Source organism: Homo sapiens, chromosome 1 (assembly GCF_000001405.40).
Source record: "Homo sapiens chromosome 1, GRCh38.p14 Primary Assembly".
Classification (NCBI taxonomy): Eukaryota; Metazoa; Chordata; class Mammalia; order Primates; family Hominidae; genus Homo; species Homo sapiens.
Genome location: NC_000001.11, coordinates 10,492,611 through 10,517,485, shown reverse-complemented (window position 1 = coordinate 10,517,485; position 24,875 = coordinate 10,492,611). Strand labels below are relative to the sequence as shown.

Here is a 24,875-nt window from a genome sequence, read left to right as displayed (position 1 = left end):
CACCTATAATTACAGGCCTCTCAAGCCAGGCTCCTTTAATTAATGAGCCTGACTCCTCTCTCTTCAAAGGAAGTCTGCATACGGGCTATATCAGAGGGTGAACCGACCCGATCAGTGCCTATCTGATCACTGCCTGATGCAGCCAGCACTCTGCCCCCAATAGGAGAGGGAGTTGCCCCTCACCCCCACCTCCACTGCCCAGTTCAACACATCTCAATCTGGCACAAGCCAATTGTGCAGTTAAGGCCATCAAACAGTTCTTGGAACTTAAGGGAAGAGAAAGCAGCTTTGCTGGGTGTGACCAGCAAAATCCAAAGAGAATTCGATTCTCCCTGGTTCACGTGCTCCTCTGACCTCACTTCTTCCTACTGCTGGGGTGAAATGCAGAGTGCAGGCTGAAGACAGTCACTGGTCAAGGCTGGACAAGCAACAGAGGGAGCAGGCTTGGGCTCTGAAAACTGGAAAAGAAAAGAACAAACCGAGGTCTGACCGTCATCCCAAGGCTGAACTAAAACTGCAAAGAAAGGCTCTGCCATCTTAAAACAAAACATGTGGAGAAGGGCTTGTGAGGCACGGCTGTTGCTCTCCAGGTCTAGAGAAGAATCTGAGCACATCCCAAGGACAGCCCGTGACCTCGGGATCACTCACCAGGCTGTCCTCACCCATTCTCCAAACTACTTTCTTTCTAAACCAATACCTGACGACCAGTTTTTAAAGTACTGGTTTTCCTTCTGGCTGTTCTGGGGCAGCTCAGCCTAATCTGTTTGTATCTGCTTCAGATGCCAAGTCAACCCATAGCTATTCTCCTGCAAGTAGCTAGAAGCTGGTTTGTACCCATGTTAGCTGGGAGACCAGACTGTCCTTGGCCACAACAAAGACTAGAAAGGGTTGCAAACAAAGTCACAGATGCCAGCACAGACGAGGCTTGGGTCAAATCAAGACAATCCCAGGTAAAGTTTCAGGCAGGAGATTTGAGATCCTGTAAAAGACTCCCACGGACCTGGCAATAATGAAAACAGGTTTGGTTCAGTCACCGCCATCTGATAACCGTTTCTCAAGGTCCCACGGCAAACCTAGTGGGTCCCACAGCAAACCCAGTGGGACAACATTTGCATTACTGACCAAATAGACACACTCTTCTACAAAGAGAGACAAAGTTCTCAGACTATGTACTCAGTAACACAGTTTCTACAGTTCTTCTAGTTTCTCATCTGTGATTTGGACTATAAAACAGGGCTAGGGAACAACCAGAGAACAGCATTAGCATTAATAAATGAAAACTTAAGACACATAGGCCTGGCTTCTTAGTTCTGCCCAGGGTATTTCACAGTGCAGATGTCAAAAATTGAATTAGATCATTCGGTATTCTGCCAGAAAAGGAGTTTCCAGTGACTTTCTGCTATTGCAAATACAATTTTGGAAGAAAGGGGAAAAAACAGTAGCATCAGTCTACCCAATGGTTAAACCCTCAAATCAAAGTAAGGTATGATCACAGACCACTGAGTCTAACTCCATGGCACCTGTCTTGTTTCCTGGCATGGCTACCTGCCATCGTTATGCCCAACACACAGAGGCTAATATAGGATATCGTTTCTGCTCTCCCATTAGATCCAGTCTTCAAATCTGTCAGCATGTCACAACCTGGATCCCCTGACCACAGCACACAGTGGAGTTCCAGGCTGAGACATGACAGGCTGATCACAAGGAGCAGCCACTTCCTTTTTCTCAAATCACAAGCAGACAAGCAGCCAGAGCCGGGTGAAGGATTTTTTACTTTGGTTTGGTTTTTCAACCAAGACATTCTCAAAGTTTATTGTTCTATGAAGTGGAAACATTTAGTTTTCTAACAAACAATTAGAAGCACAGGAGTAGAGAACATGAAACTGAGAACGAAGCTCAGGATACACAAAAATAAGAGGCTGGGAGGCAGCTGAGATCAGGAATGTCCAGGGATCCTCGGCCACACAAGCCGGCCAGGCACTCTCTTTCCAGGGTGTCTCAAGGGGAAATCACCCATCGATCCTGGGACACACGAGTTCTAGGACCAATCCCTTACCTCAGAACAGCCTCGGCCTCAAATTCCTGCTTGCGCTTTAATGTTTAAATTATTAAATGCATTAATGTATTTACATTATTCAAGTCTTATGTGCATTTTTCTAAGATAATTTATGTATAAGAGTTTGAATGTCCATGACTGTTAATGTCTACAACCCTTCCTGTTCATTATTGATTCTGGAAGAAAAAAAAAAAAGTCAGAGTTTTAATGCCTTATTTTTAATGTATTAAGAGTCTGAATAAGTGCATTCTCTTTTTTCTTTTGTAATTTCATAATTTAAGTAGTGCATTTATTAAACTGACACAGTATGAATTGTGGTGAAGCCTGGCACAGATCCATGCTGCTGGAGAGCCCGCTGGAGGACGGAGCCCACTCTTCTGTGACCAGGCAGCAGCCTGGCTCTCCCTCTGCGCTCTCTTCCCACCTACACAGGGGCAGGCGGCAGGGGAGTGGCAAGCATTTGCCCAAGGAGATTTTCTCCCTCCTTTTTCAAGTTCTTGCCCAAATCAGCTCTCCTTGTTACCCAGGCTTTTAAGGGGGACAGTTTTCTGCACACAGAAGTTCTCATCTAGATGCACTGCAGGTGATAGCAGAACAGATCGCAATCAGTACACAATTTTCAAGAACAATAAAAATGCCAGAAGCTTGGTGTAGCAAAAACAAGCAAACAACTACTTTTTTAAAGGAATCTCCAAATGAGAGACAAACATCTCAAAGAGACAACACCTCCAACTCAAGCAGAAAAACTTCTTTCTTTTGAAATCCAGTTTCCCCAGCAGATAACCCCTCTTTCTCCTATAGCCAGTAGAGCGACAGTGACACCCAATGGCCTATTAGTTCAATCCCAACTGAGCATTCCCCAATGGCTTTCCCTTGAGTTGCGTCTTAGGCCCAAAGTTCCTGTGTGAACGTGGAACCTTGAACAAAATAAGGTATTAGCTACTCACCAAGAAGGTGAATCGCTAATAGACCAATTTCCTGCCAGGACATTGAACAAACACTGTATATTGTTACACACGTGCACAAACAACACAGTATAGCACACCTCACTATGGCATCTTTCTGGCGGGTGACGACCACGTGCGTACACAGGCGCTCGCACATACACACATACAGATGCACAATACGTGGGCTGAGCAGCACCGTACAAATCAACCTGAACTGGGAGAAAGGATGACAGAAGTTTCTCACTGCTGTTTTAGAAGGTGACTCTGCCGTTTCTAACACCATACACACACACACACACACACACACACACACACACACACACACAGAGGCATAGATTATTTTATACATTTTTTCCTTTTTTTCTATTTCCTTCTTTTCTTTCTTCTTTTTTTCTTTTTTGGCTACTCATTACCATTCTTTAACTGTTACAATTTATATCAGCATATAATGTTAAATAATTACAGGGAGCGGAGCTCACTCTAGTGAGGATATAAACGCGCTGTGGGAATCTACAGATTTAAACAAATAACACTCACAGCAGGGGGTGAGCGGATGAATTAGCATTAATATCCTGCCTGGGAGATCCCAGTGCACTGGTACTGCTTAAATACAGATCTTTTCTGTAACAGTCAATATGACAGCTCCCGGCAATACGGCCCCTTTCCCTTTCCCAGTCAATATAGCAGCCAGTGAAAATAGAAACGTCCCTATAGCAATCAATATAGCAGCCAGCTAAAATAAACCCTTCCCTTTTAAGGGCTATATAATAGTCAGCTAAATGGAAGAATTGGCACCCCTGCTGGATAGCTCAGCAGAGAAGCCAAGGAATGAGCAGGCCATGAGCACTAAATGATCCTTCTGTTCCTCAGAGGCCCTGCCCAGGGAAGGGGAAGATATCCTTAGGTAGAGAACCAAGAGGGAACCTGCGAGGGACACTTGGCTCCCAGGCCCTAGGAGTAATTACCCATGTCCTAAGCAGGCTATCGGGCCACCCCTCACTGCAGTTCAATTAAAACGGCCAGAAACTTTAGAATCCTTGTTCAAGCTGTCGGCTGGAACAGGGGAACACACTGGTCTTTGGTGGGAACTGAGACCATGTTGACTCAAACCCCGCCACCATCCTGTTCCCACCTTAGCCTCAGAAGGGTAGAGTATTATGTGAACAGCCTGTGGTTTTCTGATTTCTAGAATCAGGGATAGCAGCTATGTTAGAATCAGACAACCAGCCAGGTGGGTGAAAAACAGCATTCTATGTGGAATCCTACCCCAGTGTATATACAGAACTCACTTTCAAAACTCACAGCCATCAATTTGTTAACTATTGTGAAAACACGCTATTTTCTCCCACTCACATCATAGAAAACACTCTCACACTCTCCTTCATTGGAGGCATACAGGAAAAAAAATGTATTCTAATATAAGTCAAAGGATGGCTCACCCTGAAGGCCAAAAGAGACCAAAGGCCTTTTATAAAAGAAGGAAAAGGGCCGGGCACGGTGGCCTACGCCTGTAATCCCAGCATTCTGGGAGACCAAGGTGGGTGGATCACGAGGTCACGAGATCCAGACCATCCCAGCTAACACGATGAAACCTCATCTCTACTAAAAATACAAAAAATTAGCCGGGCGTGGTGGCACACGCCTGTAGTCCCAGCTACTCAGGAGGCTGAGGCAGGGAATCGCTTGAACCCGTGAGGCGGAGGTTGCAGTGAGCCGACATCACGCCACTGCACTCCAGCCTGGCGACAGAGCAAGACTCCATCATAAAAAATAAAAGTTAAAAAAAAAAAGAAGGAAAAGAACAGGGAGCATTTCATTTAAAAACGATCCTATGCATCTGAATATATTGTTCTTTTTCATTATAACTAGCTACTTCTAAAATTAGTTCAGTTGGATTTAAGGATTTGACAAATGTGGAATATAACCACCGACGCCAGTGCAGGTTTCCAACCAACACCCCTGAAGTTAATGCTGGGATTCTGCTATGCTTCAAAGCAGGCGAACATCAGGGATCCACCCCACCTTCATTAAAATTCCACAATCTGTCTGCCATCCTTTGGATGAATCCACAGAAGTCTCTGTTTCCCTGGCCAGGTGTTTCAACACCCAGCAATGCTCATGTCATCAATCAGGTGACTTAGTCAAGTGCCACAGTGTTGGGTATCAGAAAAAAAGATCCAGAAAGTCCTGGTCTGAGAGCTCTAGTCCTTAAAAATTTAGACTTGGGCCAGGCACGGTGGCTCACGTCTGTAATCTCAGCACTTTGGGAGGCCGAGGAGGGCAGATCACGAGGTCAGGAGGTCGAGACCATCCTGGCTAACATGGTGAAACCCTGTCTCTACTAAAAATACCAAAATTAGCCGAGCGTGGGGGCAGGCGCCTGTAGTCCCAGTTATTCGGGAAGCTGAGGCAGGAGAATGGCGTAAACCCGGGAGGCGGAGCGTGCAGTGAGCCAAGATTATGCCACTGCACTCCAGCCTGGGTGACAGAGCAAGACTCCGTCTCAAAAAATATATATATTTAGACTCAACACCCCACCTAAGCCATAAGACTGAGCAGAAATTCTAGTATGTGACACCTCTGGAGAGAAACAGGTTAACACAATCAAGCCTCTCTTCTGGCAATACACGTGTTGATGAGGTCCTGCAGTCCACAGAAGACTTGGAAGTCAAAGAGGTCACAGGTCCCAGAGACCACAGAAGTCAGAGGTCCCACGGGCCACAGAGGTCAGAGATCTCACAGGCCACAGAAGTCAGAGGTCTCACAGTCCATGGAATTCAGAGGTCCCTGGGTCCACAGAAGTCACAGTCCCACGGTCTATGGAAGTCAGAGGCCCCACAATCCACAGAAGTCATAAATTCTAGAGTCCACAGAAGTCAGGAGTCCATAGTCCACAGATGTCAGGGGTCCCTCCATCTCTAGAAGTTATAGGTCCTACAGTTCATGGCAGACTTTCCTAGGAAAATTTAAACTCTGATGTGCATGGTCATTTCCATTTCTAAACCCTACACAAAAATCTGAGGGGAGACACGCTCAATCAGATAGCATTAAAGCTGGAAAGAACGCACCATGATGTTAGCAAAAACCACTTCAACTACTCATGCCATTAGAGTCATCAAAGGGGGGAGGCAGGAAGGAAGGGAGGGACAGAGAAAGAGACAGTAATGAAAGAGAAAATAAGTCTGAAAAGAAAGGAGAAAATAGAAATATAAAAGATTAGAAAAAACAGGAGATAACAAAATAAAAAAGACAAAAACCTCACTTTGGCATTTACAGTTTAAAGCTGTCAGGGCATTTTATGAAATGACAGTTGCAATAAAACAAATAGAATGGTGAGTCATCTGGGTTCCAACTTCTGAGTCAAAAGGGGCTGTTTCTAGACAAACCAGCAGCTCTGCTGCCTGCACATTTAACGATGCCTATCGGTGCACCACAGCTACGGAACAGGATGTGGAGAACGAGGAGGTGGGAGTGAGCATTGTCTTTACTGGTCCCAGTGTCATTGCAAATAAAGACTGTCAAGATTTAAACCATAATAATGGAAAGGCTATAAAGGTCTCAGTTATAATGTTTCCTCTGATGTTCCCTTTCATAAAATGGCCTCTTTATGTTGCTTGCGTAGCAGTCATCCACTGAACATCGGCATATGTGTGGCCCAGTGGGAATGTTGCACCCTAAGTTCCTAGCAGGACGCCAGGCAGCAACTGTGCAATCCAACTCCTTGGCTCATCATCTCCATCGCACATAAGTGAGCACACACACTCACTCATTCCACAAATATGTATGAGTGCCTATTTTCTGCCAGGAGCTGAGCAATACGGTATATGCCCAACCCATACAGGGCTTAGCAAAGTGCCTAGGTGCCAAACAGCCAGGAAACACACATGCAAAATATATACGGCCATACAACACAGGGACTCCTTTCCTACTTTGGCACCTAAAAGTCTTACATAAGTGCCTGGCAGCCTAGCAGGAAATGGGACTTTTCCTTCTCCATGCCAGAGCAAAGTAGATAAGCTGGAACACAAATCAGATAAATGCTCAAAAAGGGGGCTTAATATGGTGCCCACAAAGACTTGCCTTTACTTGGACACACCAGACAAAAATGCACAGAAACCTGCTGTTTCAACAGAATTATTTATCTGCAGCCTGCCATCTAACCATTCTAGGCACCAGGGAACCTCAAAGGAAAATACAAACAAAACCTCTGCAAATTAATACTTTGTAGACATGCCAAGGAGGCATGAACTAAGAAAGACACCAGCAGCACGTGTAGGGATGAAATGAGGCTGAAACCTGTAAACCAGGGAGCCGTGTGATGCAATTAGAGATGCCAAAGTCCAAAATTAGGAAAGGATCGATCTAGTCAAGCCCAACTTGGTGGCAGGTAGAGAATAACTCACATTTCTAGGTGGGCAGCCTGTGCCAACCACAAACCATCCCTGGGCTGCCTTCCCTGCTGATCTATAATTGGTGGGTCAGTGATGGAGCTACCAATTATCTTGAGGCCCCCTGTATTTAGTTCACAGACAAAGGGAAGCAGGAGAGACCAGTTAGTAATGAGTAAGTAATGGCCACGAAAATACATTGTATTATACAAAGCTGCTTCGGCAGGAAAAGCCATTTGGAAAATAAAGCGTAAAAGAATAAAATAAGCTGGAGAAACTCAATTTTCTCCTCCCTTCCTCCCAAAGCCACACTTAGGATAAAATGAGGTTTGTGCAGGTTAATCCTTAAGAGGTAAGAAAAAAATGATTAAATACATTTAAAAAATCAATTGTACATTAAACCAAATCCAGGAACTGCAAAAACAAACACGGCAGCGTTCCTCCAGCCGGCATTAGCTCTGCCAGTCTGGTCAGTAGGGGATACCCCCACCTGATGGAGCCCGCTGAGGTCACAGAAGACAAGCAGAGAGGAAGGGGAGAGAACCAGGGCTGGGGAGTGGGATGGGACCACAGATCTGGATTTCACTGGAACTGAAGTTATTTCTAGATATTATAAAGAAATAAAATGCCTTACAAATGGGGCTCTGGGGACCAGGCTGAATTCTTCAAAAATCCAATAGAAATAATAATAATGAGAATCATTTGATAAACAGAAATTATAAACCACCTTACTGTCAAATGATGTGCCACTATTTCTCGTTATTTCTTCTGTTTATTAACAAATTCTATTAACTGCCATTTTTCAGACAACAGAGAGCTGGAGAGGTGAGGTTAAGAGGCATGCCTTTGCCGGGCGCGGTGGCTCACGCCTGTAATCCCAACACTTTGGGAGGCCGAGGCAGGCGGATCATGAGGTCAGGAGATTGAGACCATCCTGGCTGACATGGTGAAACCCCATCTCTACTAACAACAAAAAAAAATTACAAAAAAATTAGCCGGACGTGGCGGCGGGCGCCTGTAGTCCCAGCTACTCGGGAGGCTGAGGCAGGAGAATGGCGTGAACCTAGGAGGCGGTGTTTGCAGTGAGCCGAGATCGCACCACTGCACTCTAGCCTGGGCGACAGAGCGAGACTCCGTCTCAAAAAAAAAAAGGAGGCATGCCTTTGTCTTTCAGGAATGCCACTCTCTGCAGTGGAGCTGGATGGAAACTCCCACCCTTCCCCAGTACCCTGGGATCTTCAGATGAAAGCCTGAAAGAATGCAAAGCCACAAGAAAGTGGCCCTAGGTCACCCGCTCCTCCCTCAGTGGAGTCAAGGCTGAGAATTCTTAGCTAATCCTAAATAAACCTCACATGGCTGAAATGTCACGGCCAATTTGCTTCCCCGTGTGGACTGCAACCATCTGGTTCTGCCTGCAACCAGCCTTTCTCCTCCTGGGCACCTGCCTCAGCCACACAGCTGGAAGATCTGGCAGGCAGGAGCATTCAGAGGGCACAGTAGGAGGTGCACTTCTGGGGGGGAGGGAGCTGGGACTCACTCTGACAAGGCACAAGTTGCCCATATGTCAGTCTTGGGCCCCCAATCTAAAAATCTGGCACATCCAAGGCCGGGCGCGGCAGCTCACGCCTGTAACCCCAGCACTTTGGGAGGCCGAGGTCAGGAGATCGAGACCATCCTGGCTAACACAGTGAAACCCCGTCTCTACTAAAAATACAAAAAAATTAGCAGGGCATGGTGGCGGGCGCCTGTAGTCCCAGCTACTCGGGAGGCTGAGGCAGGAGAATGGCATGAATCCGGGAGGCGGAGCTTGCAGACAGCCGAGATCGCACCACTGTACTCCAGCCTGGGTGACAGAGCGAGACTCCGTCTCAAAAAAAAAACAAAAACAAAAAACAAAAAAATGGCACATCTGCAATGTTCCCCTTCATGTGTTTCTGAAATAAGTCATTTAGAATTGAAGAGAAACCTCTGTAAGACTAGTTTGGATAGGGGGAGGGAGTGGGGTTGGGGGGAAATGCTGACAGGAAGAACAGGTAATCAACCATATGACAGTGGTATTCCCAACAGAATTAAAGACACGTGCCCATGGGGGAAAGTTTCAAAACCTCTAAACATTATTTGAGTGGGTTATCAATGTCTAGCTCTTGGCAACAAGTAAGATCTGACAGAAAGATTTTACTCTCTTAAAGACATCTCTATTCTCTTATCTTCAAAGCAGGTGAACTTTGCTGCCTTAACTCTGACAATGAGGAATTTGTGGATGTTGATAGAAACACAGATAAAGGATTTACCTGAGGGGGCAGAGAAAGTAGAAATAAAAGATCCTGGATATTGTATTTTCTTTACTTATGCGGATTCCAGTGACTCCCTGGAGACCTGCAGGCACCACTTTAAGAGCTGGAGTCCAGAGCAAATTGCTCAATTGTCCAACCTTCTCCCCGCCAGCAAGAGACAGAACAACAAGCGGCTGCTGCCCCCTAGAAGCTACCAGGGGCATAGCACCTTGCTATATAGACATCACATGAAAAGATCCTATTATCTCCTCTCCATCCCATAACCTGTCATTAGTGAGGTACATGGGTGCAGACGCCTCCTCTGAGCACAAGGAGGCACACATCACCTGTGATAAATTAATAGGCGCCTTTTCAACAGCTAAGATGCACACAAAAGACTCCAACCACGGAGAGCACACTAAGGCAGCAGCCTCAGAAAGGAGGTACAGAATCACCAGGCAGCACTGAGCATCGGCTGAAGATACGTTTGTGCAGCGGGCGCCCCGCACGCACGCTAGTGTGCCTGACAGCGCGGTCCACACCGCACCCATACCTGCTCTCCCCGTCTGCACAGGTTCAGCAGCATGGACACCAGCTTTCAATCCCAGTCCTGCCACTTCTTAGCTGTAGGAACTTGAATGCTCTGGGCTCAGTCTCCTCACTGCAAAATGAGTAATTCTCACAAATTTGTTGGAATCAAACAAAGTAACCAAAATAAAGACACCAACAGCGAGACCAAAATAAAGACACCAACAGCGAGGCCAGAATATTACAGAGTAGAAGCCCTCCTGGCCTATGTGATCGGAGCTAGTAATTGTTCGGTTAATCAAAAAATCAGTTAAAGCAGGGAATCAAAAATGGAACCTGCTCCACATACTGAAAACATTTTCTATTAACTGAAAACCTATAAACATTCAGTCACTGCTGATCTTTTGATGTAAAGCCAAGCCCTTTGCTTTGAGTGTGGGCCCACAGACTGAAGTTCCCAGACGTCTTTCTTGCATAAACCCTACCCATAACACAGCCTCCACAATTTCTAAAGCAAAGTAAGAACTTCAAGACATCAGTAAAGCAATCAAAGTACAGAATCCTTCTAGATGTTTATGATCTTCCTCTAATGTTTAACTGTCATCTCGCTCACACCTAATTTGACAGCAATGTTTTTAGCAATTCACATTTAGCAAAGCATTTAACTTAGTTTTCATAAAACTTTCTTTTCACATTTCTTTTTATAGAACACATTATAGCCAGGCGTGGTGGCTCACGCCTGTAATCCCAGAACTTTGGGAGGCCGAGGCGGGCGGATCACCTGAGGTCGCAAGTTCAAGACCAGCCTGACCAACATACAGAAACCTCGTCTCTAAAAATACAAAAAATTAGCCGGGCATGGCGGCGCATGCCTGTAATCCCAGCTACTCAGGAGGCTGAGACAGGAGAATCACTTGAACCTGGGAGGCAGAGGTTGCAGTGAGCAAGATCATGCCATTGCACTCCAGCCTGGGCAGCAACAAGAGCGAAACTCCATCTCAAAAAAACACACAAAAAAAGAACACATTATATTTGCAGAACCCTCTCTTCACACTCTTAGTTCACCTGTTGACATCATGTTTAATACAAGGACACAGGTTTAGGGACAAACTAGCTCCTGGGGTACAGATGAGTGTGGGAGAGACTGGCTGAGGACCTGCCTTGTTCAGAGCACCAAGAGCCTGGTGAGTACGTTCCATGGGACCCAAACAGCAAGTTGGTCAGACAGGGATGCCAAATGCAAGCTCTTGACACAGTTTTAAAAATATGTTCTTATTGATACCCCTGCTTCATTTCACAAAAGACTCTAAACGACTCTCAAAAGTACACATAAGCCTGTAATCCCAGCACTTTGGGAGGCTGAGGCGGGCAGATCACTTGAGGCCAGGAGTTCAAGACCAGCCTGGCCAACATGGCAAAACCCTGTCTTTACTAAAAATACAAAGATTAGCTGGGCATGGTGGCACACACCTGTGATCCCAGCTACTCAGGAAGCTGAGGCACAAGAATCACTTGAACCCGGGAGGCGGAGGTTGTAGTGAACCATGATCATGCCACTGCACTCCAGCCTGGGCAACGGAGCAAGACTCCGTCTCAAAAAAAAAAAAAATACACACAAGCTGGGCCGGGTGGCTCACACCTGTAATCTTGGCACTCTGGGAGGCTAAAGAGAAGGTTCACTTGAGCCCAGGAGACTGTGACCAGCCTGGCCAACACGGTGGGACCCTGTCTCTATAAAAATTTAAATAAAATTTAAATAAAATAAAAATTTCAAAGTACACACAAGACAACAAGATACAGCAAAGGAAAAGTATGGTAAAGGGGGGGAAAAAAGATTGTGTTTTGTTTTTGAGACAGGTCTCGCTCTGTCACCCAGACTCACTGTAATCACAATCTCCTGGGTTGATGCAATCCTCCTGCCTCAGCCTCCAGAGTAGCTGGGACTACAGGCTCGAGCCACATGTCCCACTAATTTTTGCATTTTTTATAGAGATGGCACCTCGTCACGTTGCCCAGGCTGATCTCAAAACTCCTGGGCTCAAGCAATTCTCTTGCCTCAGCCTCGCAAGGTGCTGGGATTACAGGTGTGAGCCACCATACCTAGCCTAAAAGATGTTTAATACCTGTTCTTTATTCTCCTTCTCCATCAAAATCCACTGTCGGTAAATGCTAGTTAAATGAAACCATTTATAGAAATAATCATTGGCCAGGTATGGTGGCTCATGCCTGTAATTCCAACACTTTGGGAGGGAGGCCAAGGTGGGCAAATCACTTGAGGTCAGGAGTTTTGAGACCAGCCTGGCCAACATGTTGAAACTCCGTCTCTACTAAAAATACAAAAACTTAGCTGGGTGTGGTGGCGCACACCTGTAATCTCAGCTACTGAGGAGGAGGCAGGAGAACAGCTTGACCCTGGGAGGCGGAGGTTGCAGTGAGCCAAGATGGCACCACTGCACTCCAGCCTGGTTGACAGAGTGAAACAAAAAGAGGAGAGGGGAGGGGAGGGGAGGGAAGGAAAGAAGAGAAAAGGAAAAGGAAAGAAAGAAAATAAAGAAAGGAAAGGAAAGGAAAGGAAAAGGAAAAGGAATCAATCAACTTGTGTGCTTGATTGTCAGCAACTCCTTGCTACCATACGGCTGCAAAAAGTGGCCCTGGTCCTAAAGACCCACTTGCCACGGGCCTGGCTGGGCCAACACAGAGAGAAAGGCCTCTTGGCAGACACAGCTGGGTAAAGGGAATGATCGCTGACCCAGAGCACCGCCCCACACACTCTGCACACAAACAGGAGAGCTGTGCCCCCAGGGTCACTGTGAAGGCAAGAGGTCACAAAAGTGGCAGCATGTCTTCTTCCTGACAGGGGTAATTTATCCAGACTCCTGCTCCACTGGGGGCTATGAGTTAGTTCCTCTCTGCCTCTGACTGTCAAGGAGTGCCCCTGGATAGATTTACTTCAAGAATCACTCAGTGTCGGCCCCATCTCTAGACTGTTCAGACAAACTCATAATGGCAGAGAGAAGATTTGTGGAGCAACAAGCATAAATCTCGGTTATAACTACAAACCATAAAAGAAAGGAGAGCTGGGAGGGAAGAAGGAAGGGCGGTGAATACGTCCTTCTCCAAAGCACCACTTTATCTTCCTGCGGTTTCTCACAGCTCAGAAGTGGGACTAACTACAAGATCATATTTTTTGAGCCAAAAATCATTCTGCGTGGTTTGACAATGAGCTAAAATATTTTAAATTACAATTATCCTGGAAAATGGGCCGGGCACAGTGGCTCACACCTGTAATCCCAGCACTTTGGGAGGCCGAGGCGGGTGGATCATTTGAGGCCAAGAGTTTGAGACCAGCCTGGCCAACATGGCAAAACCCCATCTCTACTAAAAATTAAAAAATTAGCCAGGCATGGTGGTGGGCGCCTGTAATCCCAGCTACTCAAGAGGCTTAGGCATGAGAATCACTTGAACCCCCAAGGCAGAGGTTGCAGTGAGCTGAGATTGTGCCACTGTACTCCAGCCTGGGCAACAGAGCAAGACTGTCTCAAAAAAAAGAAAAGAAAAGAAAAAAGAAAAAAGGTTATCCTGGAACATGTAGGGCACTTGGTTATCTTAACCAACACAACAGTCAACAGTTTTCACACTGGGGGCTTTTAGATTTATCCTGAGTTTGCCGCATGGAATACCTATGCTTTAGATCACACTTAAAAAAACACTTTTACATGAAAATTCTTTGAAACTGATGACTGATTTTAATCAAAAGAAAAACATTTTAACAGAGGAAATTTTATTTCCTCTGCCCAAATAAAAGTTTTGTAGATCACGTCTTCAGCAATGGTAGGGCATGTAAAGGAGCTCTAAGATTAGCAAACTCAGGATAAATCTAAAAGCCCCCAGTTTGAAAACCGCTGACTGTTGTATTGGTTAAGATAACCAAGTGCCTACATGTTCCAGGATAATCTTTTTTCTTTTTTCTTTTCTTTTCTTTCTTTCTTTTTTTTTTTTTTTTTTTTTTTTTGAGACAGAGTCTTGCTCTGTTGCCCAGGCTGGAGTGCAGTGGCACAATCTCAGCTCACTGCAACCTCTGCCTCCGGGGTTCAAGTGATTCTCATGCCTAAGCCTCTAGGAGAAAAGGGAGGAAACAGAACTTTTCCCTCTGAAAGAATGATGCCAGGGATAAGATTAAAGACTGCATTCCAGGCAGGGCGTGGTGGCTCACACCTGTAATCCCAGCACTTTGGGAGACTGAGGCGGGGGGATCGCTTGAGCCCAGGAGTTCGAGATCAGCCTGGGCAACATAGTGAGACCTCATCTCTACACAATTTTTTTAAAAAATTAGCTGGGCATGGTGGTGTGCACCGGTAGTCCCAGCTACTGGGGAGGCTGAGGTGGGAGAATCACCTGAGCCCAAGAGGTGGGGGGCTGCAACGAGCCATGATTGTGCCACTGCACTCCAGCCTGAGTGACAGAGAAAGACTCTGTCATTAAAAAAAAAAAAAAAAAGAAAAAGAAAATTGAATTTCCCCAATCACTGAGTAGCTCTGATAAAAGGCACCTGAGTGCTCAGTTCCTCAGTTCCCATATCCTCGAAATAAGGACACTGCCCATTTATCCAAGAGTTGGGGCCTCTGATTACAGGAACAACAGCAAATATAAAGCATTACTATAAAAGCCAGGAACCTAAAGTACAAACAAAGCTGAATAACTTTTTCAAATTCCATTTCTTTAATTATTACTCCTAAGAGTTTCGATTCATCTAATAATTATTTGTAAAAGGGCACCTTAAAACTGGAAAGCAACCTCTTCATTTACCTGAAAGAGGAAACAATGTAAAGGGCACCGCCTAGTCTATGCAATAAACCTGCTGTCTGTGATAGGAAGGACAGAGTAGGAAGAGGCAGTAATTTCAAAACCAGTAAGTGGCCTAGAGATCATAACCACCCAGAAACAGTATGAGGCTTTGCTCAAGTTCATCCATTTCAGCATCCAGTTCTTAGCTTTTTTCGGCAGATCTGGCAGAGGAGGTGGGAATCACAGGCACCTTCCCAACCAGAAGTCAGTATACACGGACACTAGTGTTAAAAACGTTTTCTTCACTGATACCTTTATATTGTTGATGAGAGAGGAGTGAGGAAAGAGGACAGCCAACACTTTTTTCCTCTCTGAAAAGTGCTTACATCTCAGGCCCAGGATGCTGGATCTGATAATCATGACAATTTTACCTTCAGTGAAGTGCACCGTGAGCCCATCCGTGGTTTATACTTGATTTTAGTCCCCAAGTTTCTCTGCAGCAGTTGTGAGGGGCACCCTGATGAATATGTTGCTAGTAACGGTTTAAGCACCAAAATTTTTGTAGATGATTTACTGTTTGGGCAGGGGGGTGGGTTTTGAGACGGAGTCTTACTCTGTTGCCCAAGCTGGAGTGCAGTGGGGGTATCACAGCTCACTGTAGCCTCAACCCACTAGGCTTAAGTAAGCCTCCCACCTCAGCCTCCCAAGGACTACAGGCACTCGCCACCACATCTGGCTAAATTTTTTTTAATTTTTTGTAAAGACAGGGTTTCACTATGTTGCCGAATCTGGTCTCAAACTCCGGAACTCAAGCAATCCTCCCGCCTCTTCCTTCCAAAGTGCAAGGATTACAGGCGTGAGCCACCACGCTCAGCCAATGATTTGCTTTTTAAAAATAAACTAATAGGGGCAGGGCGCGGTGGCTCACGCCTGTAATCCCAGCACTTTGGGAGGCCGAGGCGGGCGGATCACGAGGTCAGGAGATTGAGACCATCCTGGCTAACACGGTGAAACCCCGTCTCTACTAAAAATACAAAAAGCCGGGCGAGGTGGCGGGCGCCTGTAGTCCCAGCTACTCGGGAGGCTGAGGCAGGAGAATGGCATGAACCCTGGGGGGCAGAGCCTGCAGTGAGCCGAGATCGTGCCACTGCACTCCAGCACTCTAGCCTGGGCAAAAGCGAGACTGCATCTCAAAATAAAAATAAAAATAAAAATAAACTGATAGGGCGGATTCTGAATTATCCCTATAATATCACCCCCAATCACTTGCATCCCGACAGACATTCCTGAGCAGGAAAAAGAGGTGGAAGTGACAACTAGTTTCAGCAAACCTAACTCTGCACAGAAATCAACCACTACAGACTTTTTAAATAATTACGTTTAATACTTCAAAGTTAGGTTTGTCATATTTATATATTTTTCCTGGAAAATGACAAGTTCCTGAAATCCCTAAATGGCTGGTTTCATTACCCATGTGCTTGTAAAACACTTTCATGAATACAGCATCAAAATCAATTTTATTTCCCCACAAAATGCTTAAATGTTATAAAATATATATGTATTGTCATACACATGCATACATGAGTGCACACAAAGAAACATGTTAATGTCATTCTTCAGAAATGTTTTGGTGGGGCCGGACGTGGTGGCTCATGCCTGCAATCCCAGCACTTTGGGAGGCCAAGGCAGGAGGATCACTTGAGCCTAGGAGTTCGAGACCAACCTGGCCAACATGGCAAAACCCCGTCTTTGCTAAAAATACAAAAATTAGCTGGCCGTGGTGGTGCACGCCTATAGTCCCAGATACTCAGGAGACTAAGGCAAGAGAGTCACTTGAACCCGGGAGACAGAGGTTGCAGTGAGCGGAGATTGCACCACTGCACTCCAGCCTGGGTGACACAGCGAGACACCGCTTCAAAAAAAGAAATGTTTTGGTGGGAAAAAAAATGAGAACCACTTATCCACAGTGAACCTGCCGACAAGTACACCAAAGTATTCTAACCACAAAAGTCACAGAAGACACAAATGCTGAGGAGACTGTGCCAGGAATACATGTTAGAGGTCTTTGGCAGACAGGCAACCGGCTGTAGCTATTCTTTTCTTTTCTTTTTTTTTTTTTTTTTTTTTTTTTTTTTGAGACAGAATCTGGCTCTGTCGCCCAGGCTGCAGGGCAGTAGCGCGATCTCGGTTCACTGCAACCTCTGCCACCTGAGTAGCCAGGATTATAGGTACCTGCCACTACACCCAGCTAATTTTTTTTTTTTTTTAAGTAGAGACGGGGTTTTGCCATGTTAGCCAGGCTAGTCTCGAACTCCTGACCTCAGGTGATCCACCCGCCTCGGCCTCCCACAGTGCTGGGATTACAGGCGTGAGCACCGTGCCTTGCCTATTCTTACAGAGATCACAGTACTGGCTCCCTGAATCCATCAAAATACGCCTTCTGATTACCAGCCTCTGGTTAATTGGCTTGTAAACCAAAGAGAAAATCTTGGGTGTCCCAGGGGTAAGATGGATGAGCTTCCCCAGGACTGAGATCAAATACATGATGTAGAACCCCCTGGACAAGGTTCCATCTGAGCCTCAGGAAGAAACCTGAGGGCACTTTGGCACTTGGAGAGCAAAACTACTGAGACGCAACCTAGATCTGCAACTGCAGAGCATCTTTATTTTGAAGAATTCAGCATACTAAAAAATAGTAATCCCAGAAAAAGGTGATAAAGTAGAAATTGCTGTCATCAGTTACAGAAAAAATTGTAGTTTGGGGCCAGGCACGTTGGCTCACACCTGTAATCCCAGCACTTTGGGAGGCCAAGGTGGGCAGATCACAAGGTCAGGAGATCCAGACCATCCTGGCCAACATGGTGAAACCCTGTCTCCACTAAAAATACAAAAATTAGCTGGGCATGGCGGCGCGTACCTGTAATCCCAGCTACTCTGGAGGCTGAGGCAGGAGAATCGCTTGAACCCGGGAGGTGGAGGATGCAGTGAGCCGAGATCACACCACTGCACTCCAGCCTGGGTGACAGAGCAAGACTCCATCTCAAAAAAAAAAAAAAAAAAAAATTGTTCTTTGGGATTATTTTGGTGGAGAGATGCAGGAAAGAGGACAGAAAGAAAAAACAAAAAGAACCTACACCTAAAAGTTAAAGGAAGAGACGATGGCCAAGGACTCATCCATTAGAGAGAACTTGGTGTCAAAGAGCAAAAAGCTAAAATTCTAGTTTAGCCAAAATCCATAAGCACTGTTTAAAGTAGATGAGCTATAGTATTGCTGAACATTGAGAAACTGAATTGAAACAAGTGAGCAGATGTGTAAATCAAACCTTATTTACTGCTTACTTCAAATAACCAAAAATCATATGACTAAATGGAAAGCTCAAAAGTTTATTTAACCCAAGTTTCAGTATCCAAACAAGATGGGAACTGAATTACCCCATGCACATGTGGACAATTGTCCGCCCATTCTAAAATACTTATAGACCAGGCAGGGACTTGGTCCTACTAGGACAGCACAAGAAGCTGGATCCAGAGACTGTGTGGGCCTAAGGACAGGCACACAACTGTGGCTAGAAAACCAGAGTCTGTGGGAAATTCACAGGTTTTCACAGATCTGGGAGAAGCTGGAGGTCTGTACTCTGGAGGCCTGTCCGAACTCCTTGCCTCAGCAGGCAAAGCTCAGTGAAGAGAGTATAAAGAGAAAAAAGTAACCAGCCATTTTAACTTTGGCGGAGTTTTGTCAACAACAGAGAATTTCAACTTGGAGTTTGCAGAATTTCTCAAGACTGGTCTGTTCACCAATCTCTAGCCCTAATGACATGATATTAGAGAGCAATACTCCTCTGAGACGGTCAATGTTGCTGGGTTGGTTTGATTTGGAGGCCAGGATCGAGGCAGGATTGAACGGGCAAGAAAAGGAAACACGCAGCCTCACTACTTTGCTAGAATCAAGGCCAGGATTTGGCTACAAACACGAATGTGTCGTTTAGAGACTACAAGATTACACTTCTCACCACAAAATCTCGAGACAGTTTTTATGATTCAGAGAGGACAGAACTGAAAATCAAGTCTTCTTTGCCTAGCAAATAAAACAAAACAATCATGCACATATTGACTACATCACAATGTCACCTGCACCGCACTGACTACTAAATAGAACTTCTTCTGTCGTAATTTACTTTTATTTTCATTCTTTTGTTTTGTTTTGTTTTGTTTTGTTTTGTTTTGTTTTAGAGACAGGGCCTTGCTCTGTTGCTCAGGCTGGAGTGCAGTGGCCTGATCATAGCTCACTGCAGCCTCAAACTCCTGAGCTCAAGCAATCCTCTGGCTTCTGCCTCCTGAGCAGCTGAGAGTATAGGCATGAGGCACCAAGCCCGGCTAATGTTAAAATTTATAATAGAGATGGGGTCTCTCTATTTTGTGCAGGCTGGTCTCAAACTCCTGGCCTCAAGTGATCCCCCGACCTTGGCCTCCCAAAGTGCTGGGATGATAGGCATGAGCCACTGCACCTGGCCAGTAACTTACTTTTTTAATAAGGGGAAAAATTATTTCAAAGTGATCATCTAGTCTGGGACAAAGAATAAGATTATTTGCCTTTAGTGTAGAGACCAGGCAACTTCCATTAAGGAATTGTATGAAAAATATGCATTCAGTTAAAAACAAAAAGAATATGTATTTCCCGAAGCTTAAATGAAAAAATTAACAATAATAAACACAAAAACAAAACAACTTAGCAGTGTGTTCCCCCAACACTGAAATATCCCATTCCTCAAGGCCTGGCTTCAAGTTTCCCAAAAGCCATCCCTAAGTGGCCCTCGCCCTCCGCAGAGCTCTTCCTGCTCTGAATAACTTGGGGCTCTCTTCTACGCCCAACCAGGCAGCTCTGCACCAAATGATACACAATGTTGTGCTATTTGCTAAAATTACATACAGTCGTGTGCAGTTTGCTCTTATTTCATATGTATAAATGCCTTTTCTTCCCAAAGTAAAACACGTGAATTACTCAAGAACAAGGTTTAGTTTTATTCCTCAATTGTCTGTTCCCCATCCTCAGGCCTGAGCTGAGCTAAGCTGAGCATGCAGGAGACAGCAAATACACATGGCCTGAGAAAGCTCCCTCCCTGTGGAAGGGCTGACTGCTGTGTGTTTTCACAAACCGCAACACCACCACACTGAGCTGTGGGGCTTTCTGTGCAAGGGGGCTGCCCATCTTGTGCCCCCGCCCTGCCACACGAGTCCTCAGCGGGCTCCTCTGCCTGACACCCTCCCAACACCACTCCCAGGAGGAAGAAGCAGTTCACACAAGACCACGCGACTCAGCTGGTGCCCCCGTTTAATCAGGCTGCTGCAAATGCTTGGCCAAAAGCAATAAGGGCATGACTGAGAGACTGTGGGAGTTTAATATAAAAAATTTAATAAACAAAAAAGTGGGGGAAGGAGAAAGGGTCTACCTTTTAATAGGGCCCTAATTACCCAACTCATAGGATCAGCCCAAATGAGATGGGAGTTTATTTCGGGGGTTTTTTTAATTATTATTTTATATATATATATAAATTGCCGCTATGTGTTTTCTTTCCTCTGAGCAATTATGCAGCAAGTACGTAAAGAGGAGAAAAAATATTAATTAAATATAAGGTAATTGTGGAGTTGGCCTGGAGAGAATGAGTCTGAACTCTGGACGATCACAGGCTACTAGGGTTTGAAGACTGCTCAGGGCCTCCCAGAAAAGAAAGAAATAAAAATACAACCAACCAACAAGCAGATGCACAGTACAGCAGGAAGAGCAGGGCACAGAAACACTAGCAGAGCAAGGGGTCTGCAGGGCTCCAAATACCAGAAATCAGTGAGCTGGCCAACTGCTCAGGGCTCCCAAAGAGCTTGTCGAATCAAGCCCCAAAAGATGGACTGGCCACTCCTCCGATGACCAGTTAAATGGGTACATCAAAATTTGAAAAGAGAGAGGAAGGAAAGGACTGCAGCGGCCTATGGTGTTCAATCTGCACTTCAGTCTAAAACAACCACAACTTCGGCCTGAGGGGCACTGAGGCAGGCCCCAGGGAAGCAGGCAGACGTCCGGAGAGACTAGCAAGGTGGGGCCTCCTGGGCTTTCCCACCACCATGACCTCAAGGAAGGAACTGGGCAATACCAAAAGAGTGAAACGAGGCCACCGTGGGAGTGCTGGGATATAAGCCCGTAACTGGTGACGTAACAGCAGGTGACATGAATGACAACACTGCTCCCCTGAAACAGTCCCAGCAGTGCTTGTATCACCTCGGCCTTTCTACAGACAGCTCAACTGGATCCAACTCGCCCTCAGCCTGGGAAAGCCTTCGTACACACTGGAATTCAGACGTGTTCATACCCGCTAAGTCCCTCACGTCATCTCCTCCCGCGACTGCCAGAAGGGGAGTGAAGCAGAACAGGTGAAACCACAGGCCCTGCTGAAACAAAGCCTTGGCAGTACAGCCCTACGCCTGCTATCGCTACGCAGGAAGAAAAAGCTCTGAAAAGTTAAACCTAGAGCTGGCTCTCCCATCAAACTTATCTGGTTTATACAGAGCCAGTCTTACTACCCAGCCAAGAGGACTTACAGCAGGCCCTGAAAAGCAAAAAAGAATGAAAATGGGGTGGGCAGCCTGGGACTCTGGCCACCAAATGAAAAGCACTTGGGAGAGAAAATTACCTGCAGTGCTTAATAGGCCTCTTCCCTATCCATAGTCTAAGAAGACAGCGTTGGGAATGACAATCACACAATTACTGACCAGGCAAAACCAGAATTCCATCGCTTACCTGTTCTTTAAAGACCACTGAGGCGCTCGCACCCTGAGGGGCAGAGCAGAGGGCGGCTACTTCAAACAATCTAGAAGCCCAGCCACCTCACTCCACCTCAGCCTCCCACGGGCGCAGGAATCTCACTAATTACTATTGATCAGCCACAAACAAAGTGGTGCAGGACCATCTGGGGTGGATGCTTTTAGTCCTAGAAAGGACCAGCCTTTACTAAGGAGAGATCTCACTCGTCCCCACACGCGAGAAGAGAAGTCAGAGGTCACTGACAGAGGCAGTCTCTAGGTAACAGCTACTTTTAAAGGGACACTACTGACGCAGAACCATAGGAACAGAAGGTTTCTTTTCACTCGCGTGGCATTTTAATTACTAGAAAGTGATACCACATATCTTGGGTACTTACCAGCGGCTCTCGAGGCAGCACATTTTCACTTCCTGGAGTAGAGCTTGGCTGCAGAGAAAAATGGAAACAAAAATAAGATCACAGTGCCACCCAATGGACATCAAAAAACCAAAGATGTTCCGTTCTCAAACGATGCACGCTGGCACCTCTTTCTCACATCTCTCACTGGTTTTTCACGACACAAGAGTATTTTGCAGTGGACTACCTGTAAAAAGTAGCCCAAAGAGTCTGAATTCACCAGGGAAGATGAAGACTGTTTCTGGGTTCACTTGTCACACCACTCCAAGAACAAGGCTTGGTTCTGCTCAGGAAGGCCCACGATCACCTACTGAGCAGCAAGGGCTGGGGACCATCCCAAAATCCACGGGAAGAGTAGAGTCCAGAGAAAAGGCCTGAAGAGAGAGCACAACACCTCCTCTTTCTGCCACCTCCCCAACGTCAGGGGACTGGGAAGAAAAGTCGCGCAGCAGTGGAGAACCAGATTCCACCACCAGGGGGCCCCAGCTGCCCACGCTCAGGATTTTCTCTGGGCATCTAGTTTCTGGAGCCCAGAAGCCAGTAAACTACACAGGTTCCTATTCATCACCTGCCACTAAGGACACCACCCCACAATAGTAAAGAAAGCCCCAGGCTTAAATCCTTCTTGGAAATAAGCTAGTGACAGGCTGGCATATAAGCAGACCAACCTCCAGGCGAGCAGGCAGCACTGTGGCCGAGGCCCTGGCTCTAGCCCGTTTCCTCTTCCTTGGGGCCACTACCTCACCCTCACAGGCGCCTTCGACCCTTGACTGATCTGGCCAAAATTTAGAGAAAGGGAGAGGCAGAGGTAGAGACAGATTCTGAAGAAATTTACAAATCTCCAAAAGAATAAAGTAAGCAGGTATGCTGCTAAGTGAGCTATGATTAGTTTACTGTGACTGATGGTCAGGCCAATTGCCATCTATCTACAGTTAATATCCAGACAAGTGCAGCAAAATCTGTGTGTCCCAGGAGACAGCCTGCAGCCTCCATTCTCCCGGCTATTACAGATCAGATGGAAGTGCCAGGCCGCCTTGGAAAAGGACAGAGGCCCGGTCTGCAGAGGGTTCCCAAAAATTCCTCATGCCCAGCTACTACCACATTAGCTGGCACACAGCACAGTGGCAAGCACTCTGCTGGGTGAAGGCCTCTATCCCTCCATCCGAAGTCCTGTCCCAAGAGCCTCACCACCCCAGGACAAGAGGTCAGCCAGCAGGAAACGATCTAGAAAGTGAGGGTCCGTCTCAGGGAATGTGAGCAAGCTTCCCCTGCCTCCCTGCCTCCTGTCCTCCCAAAGCTCCAGGCATTGGTAACTTCAAACCTTTAGAGCTCCAGCCCACACCCCTCTGAGATACACATCCGACTGCCTTCCTGCCTCTTCTTGGAGTTAAGCTGCCCTGGAGCAGACTCACAGTCCTCTCTGACACATATGTCTTCTTCCAGCATTCCCTCTTGGCATGAATGGGACAAACTTCACCAAATGATGTAAACTAGAATCCAAAAGGCCATCTTGAGACAGCTCTTTCTCCCTCGCTCCCAGAGCTAACTCATTACATCAAGTCTGCCATACTCCTTCCTCAATATCCATGGAAGAGTGGTGTAAATGCCAGCACTTTGGGAGGCCCAGGAGGATGGATTGCTTGAGCCCAGGAGTTTGAAACCAGCCTGGGCAACATGGCAAATCCTCGTCTCTACAAAAAATATAAAAATGGGCCAGGTGTGGTGGTGTGCGCTTGTACTCCCAGCTATTTGGGAAGCTGGGGCAGAAGGATCCCTTGAGCCTGTAAATTCAAGGCTGCAGTACACCATGATCACACCACTGCACTCCAGCCCAGGTGACAGAGCCAGACCCTGTCTCAAAAAAAATTAAAAAGTCCATGGAAACAATCCATCCGTTTTTCTCCATCTCTACTGCCATCACTTCAGTCCAAGCTACCAAAATCCCCTGCCTGGACCACTGCGTCAGCTTTCTCATCAGTGCTGGCGCTCTTCCAATTCATATTCTGGGATGCAAACAGACTATCATTTCCAAAGGAGAATCTGCTCGTCCCATCCCTTGTCCACCCACTCACCCCAGTAAACACAACAAATTTAAGGGCTTCTCCTTGCTCTTAGAAGACAGAAAAACCTCAGCGTGGCCTACAAGGCCTCACGTCTACTCTGACTACACCTCAGGTCTCAAGCGGCACCACATTGCCCACTTCTGCCCCCTGACAGACGCACTGGCCTTTGCTTTCTCTGTCACTGCGCCTTTGCACATGCCCTTCCTTCCCTTTAGTTCATCCTTCAGATCCAGCTAAGACACTTCCTCAGGGAAGCATTCCTTCTCTGACATCCATGACTAGGTCAGATCTCCCTGTGACACATTCAGGTAACACCACCTGCCTCTCCTTCAAGGACCTGAGCAGATGTGCAACTTTACATCTGTGTGACTATCGGACTGATGCCTGTCTCTCTCACCAGATTATAAACTCCACGTGTGCAGAAACTGCCTGTGTTTGCTTATCACTGTATCCCTGGGGGCTAGGACAGTGCCAGGCACAGAGGAGGCCTTCAATAGAAATTTGCTGAATGAATGAATGGGCAACAAAAAAACAGAACAATGGCAACAACTCAGCTGAATGGATTATTTAGATTCTTCCGTTCATTATCTTCCTGAGGGTTTCCTCTACTCCATTTGCTAGATACTAAGT

At 46.3% G+C, this 24,875-nt stretch overlaps 1 protein-coding gene across 8 annotated transcripts in view, besides 5 other annotated features; it reads right to left on the bottom strand.

The window, feature by feature from the left end:
* Positions 1–24,875, bottom strand: part of PEX14 (peroxisomal biogenesis factor 14) — a 155,809-nt gene that overhangs the window by 113,273 nt on the left and 17,661 nt on the right. For all 8 annotated transcript variants that reach the window (XM_047422544.1, XM_047422546.1, XM_047422545.1 and 5 more), the window contains exon 2: positions 22,165–22,212. In XM_047422544.1, the coding sequence (XP_047278500.1) occupies positions 22,165–22,212 (48 nt within the window). The remainder of the gene's footprint in view (positions 1–22,164; positions 22,213–24,875) is intronic.
* Positions 8,130–8,818: an enhancer, noted in NCBI's record as "H3K27ac-H3K4me1 hESC enhancer chr1:10568725-10569413 (GRCh37/hg19 assembly coordinates)". NCBI's record gives its function as "activates a minimal SCP1, AML or CMV promoter by ChIP-STARR-seq in primed H9 embryonic stem cells {active_cell/tissue: H9 hESC(primed)}" and the evidence as "EXISTENCE:reporter gene assay evidence [ECO:0000049][PMID:30033119]".
* Positions 9,993–10,052: an enhancer, noted in NCBI's record as "active region_153". NCBI's record gives its function as "activates an Ori minimal core promoter by ATAC-STARR-seq in GM12878 lymphoblastoid cells {active_cell/tissue: GM12878}" and the evidence as "EXISTENCE:reporter gene assay evidence [ECO:0000049][PMID:35858748]".
* Positions 10,083–10,142: an enhancer, noted in NCBI's record as "active region_152". NCBI's record gives its function as "activates an Ori minimal core promoter by ATAC-STARR-seq in GM12878 lymphoblastoid cells {active_cell/tissue: GM12878}" and the evidence as "EXISTENCE:reporter gene assay evidence [ECO:0000049][PMID:35858748]".
* Positions 21,998–22,057: an enhancer, noted in NCBI's record as "active region_151". NCBI's record gives its function as "activates an Ori minimal core promoter by ATAC-STARR-seq in GM12878 lymphoblastoid cells {active_cell/tissue: GM12878}" and the evidence as "EXISTENCE:reporter gene assay evidence [ECO:0000049][PMID:35858748]".
* Positions 22,520–22,814: a silencer, noted in NCBI's record as "tiled region #5895; HepG2 Repressive DNase unmatched - State 25:Art". NCBI's record gives its function as "represses a minimal TATA promoter and a strong SV40 promoter by Sharpr-MPRA in HepG2 cells {active_cell/tissue: HepG2}" and the evidence as "EXISTENCE:reporter gene assay evidence [ECO:0000049][PMID:27701403]".